Below are 11492 nucleotides of genomic sequence, written 5' to 3'. Positions count from 1 at the left end.
GAGTGCTGAGCCTCTAGCAAGGGTCTGGGACTAGGACTTGTTGGGGATGTGCTGTGAGCCTGAGGAAGGAGGGGGACAGGCAGAAGCCCACAGGGGAGGAGGGGTCCATTAGCTCTGCCAGGAAGCTACCATCAGGAGAGGACAGGGGAGGGGTCTCTCTCACCCATGCCCCTTTTGTGACTCCCAGATCTTCTCACCTGTGTGGGAGTTGTCAGGCTAGAAGTAAAAGCCTCACTGACTTAAGTGAGTGACTTAAGCTGCTTTGGACTCTACCAGGCACCAGCCCTACTCACTCCTGAATCCCTCATCCCAGCCAGAGATGGACCTCAGCAGAGAAAGGGTCTCGCGCTTCCTGCCAACCTGAGGTGGTTGGCTAACACTGGGGGCAGACAGTGCTTACTGGACCACACCTCTTAAAACACAAAGCCCACCGTGGTGGACAGGGCCACTCCCCCAACACAATTGCCACGCTATTGGGCAAAGCGTTGCCAAATGACTTTCTCCCCCTAAAGTCCGTTGGGGGAAACTCGGAGGAAATAAATTTCCTCTCAGTATGCCATGTATTGACTCAGGCTAGCTTCCCAGTGGTCCATAAAATAATAGCAACATTTATTGGGTTCTTGCTTTTGTGCCAAGTGCTATTAAGTAGACCTTAAAGAGAAAGGCTATTAGCATCTCCACTTCTTAGAAGAGAGAGGGCAAGTAACTCTGCCAGCTAACATATACTGGGAGACCCCAGGGCCAAGATTGGAACCCAAGCAGTTTACCACCAGACCCCTGGCACAGGTGACCCTGCCTCTTGAGAAATAGTGGTTTTTGATACTGGTGGGAGGGGGGCAAAGGAGAGTCCCCAGGAAGCTGAGCCGCAGGGCAGGCATTCTTGGAAGACTTGAGACCCAGAGTGGGCTCCCTGAGACAGCACAGCCAGGATTTTGGAAAAGTCAAGTGCAGTGGGGATAGTCCTGGAGGGAGAGAGCTTGGCCTGTAGAGTTATATCTGCAGGATAGTAGACTAAGGAAGGACCAAAACCCCGGGGGATGAGGGATTGGGCCTGGCTTGACTGGCCAGTCAGTGCCTCCGGAGAAGCAGCTGTCCACAGAGCTAACCCAGGTGGACCTCACCGCGGCCTGTCACTGGTGCCCCAAAGGTCCCTCGCTCTGTAGGCAAACCTGGTGTTCCAACAAGTTGCAGAGCCTGCACCGGTCTGGAGAGGGCTCCAGGGCTGGGGACCAAAAAGCTATGATCGCCCAGACAGGTCTTTGGAGGAAGAGCTAGAAAGCCCTTGGGTGATGACTGAAAAAAAAAAAAAAAAAAAAAAAAAAATCCCAGCACCATGTTTTTACTTAAGGTTATCCTGAGATTCTGCCATATTAGTACACAGACGCCCTTCTTACGCTTTTCCATAGCTGCATAGTATTCTGGTGTGTGGACATCCCATAATTTATTTAGCCAGATCCATCTTAGTGGACATTTAGGTTGTTTCCTGTCAAGCTGTAGGACGGGTTCCTAGAAATAGCAGTACCAACTAGAAGAGTGCAGGCCTTTATCCTTTCACTGAATGTTGCCACCAAGCCCTCCACAGAATGTTGGGCCAGCTTCTCCTCCCCTACTCGCCAACAGCATCAGCAAACATTTTGGTCTTTCGCAAACAGACAGATGAAATACAGAGTCTCAGCGTAGCTTGAATTCTCATTGCTGTTATTAGGAGGTGGATGAGCACCTTTCTACGTTTAAGAGCCAGTGGTATTTTGTGTGGGGTTTCCATCTGTCCCTTCAAGGAACTCTATTATTTATTTTATTTTTCTTTCTTTTTAGAGATGGGAGCCCTACTCTGTTGACCAGACTGGAGTGCAGTGGTGCCATCACAGCTCACTGTAGCGTTGAACTCCTGAGCTCAAGGGATCCTCCCGCCTCGGCCCTCCAGAGCACTGGGATTACAGGTGGGAGCCATGTTGCACCCACCAAAACTTCTTATTTAAACTCTCTAACCACTGGGTGAGAGTTGTCAGCATTGTCATAGCCCCTGTAAACTATTTAAATGAGAATTGTTTTCCTAAGGACAAAACTTGCCTAAAGTAAGACAAGACTTGAATTAGCTTTGTTTGTTTTGTTTTGAGACAAGGTCTTGCTCTGTTGCCCAGGCTGTAGTGCAGTGACACGAACCTGGTCCACTCCAGTCTCAAACTCCTGGGCTCAAGCAATCCTTCCATCTCCGCCTTCTGAAGACCACAGGTGCACACCGCCATGCTTGGCTAATTTTTAAAACAAATTTTGTAGATGGGGGCCTCCCTATATTGCCCAGGCTGGTCTCAAATTTCTGGGCTCAAGCAATCCTCCTACCTTGGCCTCTCAAAGTGCTGGGATTACAGGCATGAGCCATGGCATCTGGCCAAGTTAGCCTGTTTCTTAATGAAGAAACTGAGACACGAACTGGACAATTAGAACCGAGGTCCTCTCACCTGTTCTTCCAGCTCATCCTTGGGTTTCCCCATCTTAGGAGGAGAAGGCTGGACTAGCGAGACCTTCGGAGTCAGGCCTGCACCACTCAGCAGGTCTCAGCGCTCATGTGTGAGTGACCCACCATGAGGTGAGTTTTAAGCCACATTACTCTTTCCGCTGCTGATTGTCAAGGTGCCATATTGATGGATAAGGAGGCTGGCTTCCAGGTCCCCCAGCAGCAGGAGGGCTGCCCTCACCCATTCACATCACACTCTTTCTTTCTTTTTTTTTTTCCTTTTTGTGGAGAACAAGGTCTCACTATATTGCCCAAGCAGGTCTCGAACTCCTGGGCTCAAGCTATCCTCCCGCCTCTGCCTCCCTAAGAGCTGGGATTACAGGCATGAGCCACCATGCCCAGCCACCACAACTTTCCATCATGAGGGAGAGGAGGGTGGGGTTGCTCTTGTGACTGTGCCCTATGCTGCAATGCTGCCCTTACCAGGTGGATGAGTTGAAGCCGGAGGGGCATCTGCAGACTTGCAGAGTGAAAACAGTACTGTCCAGGACGAGAGGGAAGGTCTGGCTATTGACAATGGACCAATCAGGTTCTCTCCCGGGCCTTTGCCTCTTCATCCACAATATGGCAGCATTGGGCAAGGTCACTGAGCCTTGCTGCTTTAAAATGTGCCTTTCTTTCCCTCAAATCAGGCATGCTCCTTCCCCACTCAGGCCCTTTGCATTTGCTCTTCCCTCTGCCCAGATGTCTTTTCCTCTAGATCTTCACACGCAGACCCCTTCTCATCATTCTGGTTGCAGCCTGAATGTTGTCTCCTCAGAGCAGTCACCTGGAGCTCTGGCTAAAGTCAGCCTCACCCGGTTCATCCCAGTTGAGGTTCGTCACCACTGTCACCAGCTGGAATCATCTGCTTCCTGATTTGCTGCTATGTTTCTGGTCTGTCTTCCCCTGTGAAGGCAGAGCCTCATGGGTGTTGCTCATCATTTCGTCTCAGTGCCTGGTGCAGACAAGGCTGAAGCAAAGCACAAGGGAGGTTCCGAGGCTGCAGGCTCCTCACGCCGAGGAGTCAGCCACCCCCGTGTGCCATGGAAATGCAGGCATGTGAGGCTGTGGTTCTTCAGGAGGGACACAGGGAGCAGCCAGACCTGGGGAAAGATTCAGTGGAATGACCCCCGAAACCTGGCATTTGGGGGCTTCTCTACCCCGGCCAGTCAAGCCTCTGGGACCTGAAGAGCCCCCTCACACTCCTCATGACAACCATGACAACCTCATGACAACTAACAGCAAAGGCAGCGGTTTTTTGAAAATGTGTCTTTTGGTGACCAATCCCAAGGGATCATTCACTTTCTGGCCTGGAGACAAGAAAGGGAAGACCTCCCCCAACACCCCCTTTCCCTGCTACAGGTCACCCAGAGGCATAATGTATAGACCTCCTAAATCCCCTCCCTTATCCCTCTAGACATCTCTCTGGACAGCGCGACAGTGAGTCTGTCCCCCTGGCGGCAGCTGGATCATTAACTGTGAGGTTTATCACGGGTGATAGGATTGAGCTCTGTGCTTCACGTTGTTGTTGGAAGGGAGATAAAAGAGGTCTTGGGAGCCATGAGTCCCCGACTTTCCCTTCTACCCCACTTTCCAGAGCAGCTGGATACAGGGAAAGTCACTCACACACTCCTCCTTGCTGGCCGCTGTGCACATGGTTTTGTCATGCATGTCACCCTAACACCAGATTACTTTCCCCAAGACATGCCAGGATCATTTCTTCTAGCCCAGCTGTGTTCGAACTAGCCCTTCACCAAGTGGTTCAGTTTCCTTGGTGGGGCCTGTATGATTGTGAGGGGCTGGGGGAAGTCTGGAGGCGGGTGTCAGGGAAGTATGAAGCCCAGTTCCTGCCACAAGGTTCACACCCAATGAATGGTCACTGTTATTACACAGGATGGTAGGCTTGTGGTTTGTTTTTTCCCTCTATTCTTTGGTCACTTTTCTATAAGCATATTATTTTTAGAATCAGAAAAAAAAACTCATGAAACAAAAGAAATGTGATGAGTGATTTACAGGGAGCAAAGGGCAGAGAGAGAGAGACAGAAAGAGAGAGAGAGAGACAGATGCTCTTTAGAAACCGTGGCTCTGGGCCCCGGAATTTAATCTGCAGTTAAGGAGGCTGAGAGAGGCAGGTGGGTGCACCCACAGGTCTCCTAACTGAGAACTTCCTGCCTTTGAGCCCACCTACTAGTCCCCAGGTTACAGATCTCAGGGAAACCCCAGGGCTCCCACCCCCTCCACACACACACCCACTCCCAGTCAGGCGGCCTGTGAGCCTGGGTTGGGGCTAACCGGAACCCAGCCAGCCTCTCTCCCACCTTCTACCTTCTGTTCTCAATGCTGTGCCCCTGGGCTGGGGCAGCCTGAGCTAGGTGATGTCGAGCCAGGAACAAGAGCCAAGGACCACAGAACCTGCTTTTGGTTCCACATGTCTCTGCCCCATCTTCCTTTTTCTTTTTCCACCTCGTTTCTTTTTTTTTCTCTTTTCTTTCTCTCTCCCTTCCTTTCCTTTCCCTTGCCTCCCCCATTCCCCTTCCCTTCCTTTTCTTTCTTCCTTCCTTCCTTTCTTTTTCTCTTTCTTTCTTTTTCTTTCTTTCTTTCTCTTTCTTTCTTTCCCTCTCTCTCCCTCCCTTCCTTCCTTCCTCCCTTCCTTCCTCTCTTTCTTTCTTTCTTTCTCTCTTTCTCTCTTTCTTTCTCTCTTTCTCTCTTTCTTTCTTTTTCTTAGAGAAAGGATGTCCCTCTGTTGCCCAGGCTGCAGTGAAGTAGCACAACCATGGCTCACTGTAACCTTGAACTCCTGGGCTCAAGCAATCCTCCTGCCTCAACCTCCTGAGTTGCTGGGACTACAGGTGTGAGCAAATGCACCCGGCACTTTTCTCCTTTTTTATTTTAAATACTTTTAGAGTAATTCCTTTACATAAATTGAACTTCATAAAAAGTTAGAACTTTGCACATTAAAAGACACTATCAACAGAGTGAAAAGACCATCCAAGAATGAGATACAGTATTTGCAAATCATATATCCGATTGGGGATTAATCCAGGATATCTAAAGAACTCTAAAACTCAGTAACAACAAAAACCCAAACAACCCAATTCAAGAAATGAGAAAAGGACTTGAATAGACATTTTTCCAAAAAAGATATACAAATGATATACACATGATATACAAAATGATATACAAATGATATACAAAAAGATATACACATTAAAATATGTTCACATCACTGATCACTAGAGAAATACAAATCAAAACCACAATGAGATACCACTTCGTACTCATTAGGGTAGCTATTATCAAAAAACAAGTAACAAGTATTGGTACGGATGTGGAGAAATTGGTGCCCTTGTGCATTGCCGGTGGGAATGTAAAATGAGGCAACCTCAGTGGAAAACGGTAGGCAGTTTCTCAAAAAATTAAACAGAATAACCATAGGGTCCAGCAATTCCACTTCCAAGTATAAACACAAAAGAATTAGAACAGGGACTCAAACAGATTTTTTTTTCCTTTTCTTGCTTTTCTTTCTTTCTTTCTTTTTTTTTTTTTTTTTTTTGGAGACAGAGTCTCACTCTGTTGCACAGGCTAGAGTGCAGTGGTGCGATCTTGGCTCACTACAACCTCCACCTACCAGGTTCAAGCGATTCTCCTGCCTCAGCCTCTGGGATAGCTGGGACTACAGGCACACTACCACCATACCTGGCTAATTTTTGTATTTTTGATAGAGACAGGGTTTCACCATGTTGGCCAGGCTGGTCTTGAACTCTTGGCCTCAAGTGATCTGCCCAGCCCACCTCGGCCTCCCAAAGTGCTGGGGTTACAGGTGTGAGCCACCGCACCCAGCCTCGAACAGATATTTGTATACTCATGTTCATAACAGTATTATTCACAATAGTAAAGGTGGAAACAACCTAAATGTTCACTGACAAATGAATAAATAAACAAAATGTGATACAATAAACTGGGTTGTTATTGTCTTTCAAAAGAATTCTGATACATGCTGCAACATGGACGGACCTTGAAAACATGCTAAGTGAAATAAGCCAGACACAAAGGGACAAATATTGTGTGATTCCACTTACATTATGTATCTAGAATAGTAAAATTCATAGAGATAGAAAGAATAGTGGTAACCAGGGGCTGTGGGGAGGAGGGAATAGGGAGTTATTGTTTAATGAGTATGGAGTTTCAATTTGGGATGATGAAAACATTCTGGAGCTGGATAGTGGTGGTGATGATTGTACAACAATGTGAATGTTCTTAATGTCACTGAAGTGTACATTTAAAAATGGTTAAAATGGGCTGCGCGGTGGCTCACGCCTGTAATCCCAGCACTTTGCGAGGCAGAGGTGGGTGGATCACCTGAGGTCAGGAGTTCAACACCATCCTGACCAGCATGGTGAAACCTCATCTCTACTAAAAATATAAAAATTAGCCGGGCGTGGTGGCATGTGCCTGTAGTCCCAGCTACTTGGGAGGCTGAGGCAGGAGAATCGCTTGAACCCGGGAGGTAGATGTTGCAGTGAGCCTAGATTGTGCCACTGCACTCCAGTCTGGTGACAGAGTGAGACTCCGTCCCAAAAAAAAAAAGGTTAAAATGATAAATATCATATATATTTTACTACAATAAAAAAGAATGGAAAGACTATTAAATATCTTTTAATGAAAACCCCTCGTTCTGCAAAGAAAGAAACAGTCTTAGAGAGGTAGAAAAAAAGTCATTTCTTAAAGTCATCTTTTTTGTTTTTTGTTTTTTTGTGTTTTTTTTTTTTTTTTTTTTTTTTGGTTTTTTGAGATGAAGTCTCACTCTGTCACCCAGGCTGGAGTGCAGTGGCGCGATCTTTGCACACTGCAACCTCCATCTCCCGGGTTCAAGCGATTCTTCTGCTGCAGCCTCCTGAGTAGCTGGGATTACAGGCACAAGCCACCATGCCTGGCTAATTTTTGCATTTTTAGTAGAGACAAGGTTTCACCATATTGGCCAGGCTGGTCTCGAACTCCTGACCTCAGATGATCCACCAACCTCGGCCTCCCAAACTGCTAGGACTACAGGCATGAGCCACTGCACCCAGTCCCTTAACTTCATTTTTGATACCTCAGATATAACAGGTATTCTAAACTTTAAACAGTACACACAGTCGCCAACTTATGATGGTCTGACTTACAGTGTTTTAAACTAATGATGGGTTTATTGGGATGTGAGCCCTGACACAAGTTGAGCAGCATCTGAACAGATGAAATACCCTCCCTCATTAATTCCCGCCCCTCCCCAGTGGGTAACCGAAGGTTACATCACTTTTGTGTGAATCCATCTAGATATCTTCTGTAGGTTTACAGAAATGGAACCATTCTGCACCCATTTTGCAACTTTCCCTTTATACTCAATGCTATTTCTTAGAGATCTTTCCGTGTCAGTACATATAAGCTACCACATTCATTTAAGCTACTACACAGTATTTCATAGTACTAACGTACCATAGCTAAGCATTCCCCTTCTGACAGACACTGCTATTGTCTGAATGTTTGTGTCTCCCCAGATTCACATGTTGAAACCTAGTCCCCAGTGTGGTAGTATTAGCAGTTGGGGCCTTTAAGAGGTGATTAAGTCATGAGGGATCCACCCTTGTGAATGGGATTAGTTCCCTTATAAAAGCAACTCAAAAGAGCTTGTTCATCCTTGTGTCCCGATGTGCCGTTTATGAAGCATAGTGAGTTCTCGCCAGACACCAAGTCTGTGAGCACCTTGATCTTGGACTTCCCAACCTCCAGAACTGTGAGCAATACAGTTCTGTTGTTTATAAATTACCCAGCCTGGCCAGGCGTGGTGGCTCACGCCCGTAATCCCAGCACTCTGGGAGGCCGAGGCAGGCAGATCACAAAGTCAAGAGATCAAGACCATCCTGGCCAACATGGTGAAACCCCGTCTCTACTAAGAATGCAAAAATTACCTAGGCACAGTGGTGCATGCCTGTAGTCCCAGCTACTTGGGTGGCTGAAGCAGGAGAATCGCTTGAACCCGGGAGGCAGAGGTTGCGGTGAGCCAAGATCATGCCACTGCACTCCAGCCTGGTGACACAGCCAGACTCCATCTCAAAAAAAAAAAAAAAAAAAATTACCCCATCTAACGTATTTTGTTATAGCAGCCTGAATGGACTAAGACAGACACTCGACACTATTTTCAGTATTTGCCTGTTACAGACCATTCAGCATAAATGCCTCTTTGCACACATGTAGAAGTGGTTCTCTAGGAAAACTTTCATTTACTTATTAAGGTTACAAGTGTACCTGAATGCATGTCAATCAAATAGCTGCCATGTACTGGCACTTGGGGAATGCTAAATTTTTTTTTTTTTTTTTTTTTTTTGAGACAGAGTCTCGCTCTGTCACCCAGGCTGGAGTGCAGTGGCACAATCTCTGATCACTACAAGCTCTGCCTCCTGGGTTCACACCATTCTCCTGCCTCAGCTTCCCGAGTAGCTGGGACTATAGGCGGCTGCCACCACACCCAGCTAACTTTTTGTATTTTTAGTAGAGACGGGGTTTCACCTTGTAAGCCAGGATGGACTCCATCTCCTGACCTCACGATCTGCCCACCTCGGCCTCCCAAAGTGCTGGGATTACAGGCGTGAACCACAGCGCCCGGCCGGGGAATGCTAAATTTTTTGTGTCATAATCTCACATGTTGTTATTCCTCCAATCAACCCTGCATGGAACTGGTGTCCCTATCCGCTCAGATGAGGGAAATGTCCAAAAAACACAACTCATTTGCCCCAGATCACAGAGCTCATAAGAGAGCTGTGGGCCTTCAGATGGACCTGGCGTAACTAAGTAAGGCATCTAAGACTGTGACCTCCTTGAGACCAGCACTTGGATCACTTTCCTGCCATGTCCCCACATCTGACACAGGTCTGGAATGTCACGGGCAATAACAAATGCTCCTTGAATGTTGTTGAGCAAATGAAGGCAGGCCCGGGTGTGTGGAACCCTCCCCCCGGTTATTGGCATTAGGCCCCAGCATTTACTTACCCACCTGTCTGCTCACCTATGCCTGCCCCTTGCCCCAGCCCTAAGCCCCAGGAGGAAAGCCAGGGTGAGGGGTGTCAGATACAACCAGTCTCTCTAATGTCGTTCTCTATGACCTGTACTCTACCCACTGAGGGTGGCCTCTCACCCAGGTTCCCTGAGACCCTTAGCCTGACACATTCCCCATCTCCAGACATTTGATTAGATCCACTGGCCTTCAACGCTCAGCCCAGCTCACAACTCCCTGGCTCTGATCCCTCATGGGACCACCCAGAGCTCTTTTCCTCCTTGCCTTATATACTTAGTTTATTTTCTTTTTAAAAGTCTGAATGGCCACTATCCCCTTTGATAAAGCTTCTCTGTGTGCTCAACACAGATGAGGACATGGAGGCCCAAAGAGGTCATGTGTCTCGCCCTGGTCCCCAGCCAGCGAGCAACACAAGGTCACACTCAGGTCTCTGCAGCCCCCAAGGCCGACACTCTTCCTGTTATAGCCCAGAAAGCCTCCGAGATAAACCAGAAGGAGGCTCACTTGTTATCAAATGGGAGTTTCACAGGATCTAGAGTTGGGAGGAACATTCATTTCCTGATGCCACCTCTGTCCCCTGAACTATGGAGAATACATCCAAACCCCTGCCACACGGCAGGAGGCTCAAGTGTCTGAGTGGCTACGACTCTAGTTATCCAGGCTCAGTAGACCCTCTCATGCCCAGTTCCCCTGTGGGTCTGTCTTGACTTCTCCAGTGTGTGGCCAATTCCCTAAAGGTGAGAAGATCTTCTCTTAGACTCCTGTGTCCTTCCACAATCTTCCCAGTGTGGATCAGGTGCTATTTTACTCCTGTTTCAACCTTGAGTTCCTGCAAGTGCTCTTCAGCTGTTCATCTCAAGTGAAATGGGAGCAAGTAGGCAAGGACAAAGAGTAAATCACTCTCCTCCAACAGCCAAAGCTCTAGTCCTTCTAACGATAGCATCCACTATTGAAGGGGGCCTTAGTATGTGCCAGTTGCTGCGCTGACAGTCACAGCCTCACTTCCTTCTCACGTCAGCTCTGTGAAGGAAGAACTGGTATTGTGTCCACGTTGCAGATGAGAAAGTTGAGGCTTGATAGCTTACATGACTTGCCCAAGTTAATGCAGCTAATGTGTGGCAGTCCGAGACCAATACCTGGCTCTCTGCCATCACATTTGACAGTCCCCAGCTATATCAGCCAGGGTCCTGTAGGAAATGAAGCACACTCAAACTGGGTATTCTCAGGAAAGTGAATAAAGGGACACTGCACAGAAGTATTAGCAGGGTCTGGGCAAGCCCAAGTGGAGAGCAGTGTACCCTCAGCTCATGCCAGCTGTGTGGACAGCACTCTTGGGCCCGAACCTGAGACAGGGGCTATGTGGAGAGGCTCCCTAGCAGGAGCTGTGGCCTTCAGTGGACAGACATAGACACAGCTCAGCAAGAAGGGAATAAACACCTCTAACTGCTCACCTCCATGTCTGTCCAGTTTCCAGCCAGTGTCCCACTGGTCAAATCCAGCTGGAAGCCAGAGCCCAAAGGAACCCACTGATATAACACACCAATGTCAGCTTCTGGGCACAGAGGAGGGGAGAGAGTGGATGGAGTGGGTGGCAGCAAACAGAAGGTCTCCAGAACCCTAGCCAAGGTAGAGTTAGCAGATTCACTAAATGTGGCTACAAGACAAATGCATCTTGGGATTCATGTGGCACAAACTAAGAGATGGAGATTTTCCTTTTATTTAAAAATTCAACCAGGGCTGCATCAACCCTGGCTCAAAAGCAATCATTTCTTCTCCCCCATCACCTCCACCAACACAAAAAGAGAAACAAGAAAAGAGAATAGGCACAGAGGCAAGGCTGAGTGTGGAGCGGGGCCCTTACCTAGGCAGTGAGGCAGTATGTTCCAGAATTGAGACCTCTCAGCTCAACCCCTGCTTCCCCAGAGAGGACCCAGACCCACCACGGGC

At 47.9% G+C, this 11492-nt stretch overlaps 3 annotated features.

The window, feature by feature from the left end:
- Positions 4003-4072: an enhancer, noted in NCBI's record as "active region_4017". NCBI's record gives its function as "activates an Ori minimal core promoter by ATAC-STARR-seq in GM12878 lymphoblastoid cells {active_cell/tissue: GM12878}" and the evidence as "EXISTENCE:reporter gene assay evidence [ECO:0000049][PMID:35858748]".
- Positions 4083-4242: an enhancer, noted in NCBI's record as "active region_4016". NCBI's record gives its function as "activates an Ori minimal core promoter by ATAC-STARR-seq in GM12878 lymphoblastoid cells {active_cell/tissue: GM12878}" and the evidence as "EXISTENCE:reporter gene assay evidence [ECO:0000049][PMID:35858748]".
- Positions 4293-4572: an enhancer, noted in NCBI's record as "active region_4015". NCBI's record gives its function as "activates an Ori minimal core promoter by ATAC-STARR-seq in GM12878 lymphoblastoid cells {active_cell/tissue: GM12878}" and the evidence as "EXISTENCE:reporter gene assay evidence [ECO:0000049][PMID:35858748]".

This window comes from Homo sapiens, chromosome 10 (assembly GCF_000001405.40).
Source record: "Homo sapiens chromosome 10, GRCh38.p14 Primary Assembly".
Taxonomy (NCBI): Eukaryota; Metazoa; Chordata; class Mammalia; order Primates; family Hominidae; genus Homo; species Homo sapiens.
The sequence above is the reverse complement of the archived record's forward strand: the minus strand, read 5'-3'. Positions and strand labels throughout refer to the sequence as shown.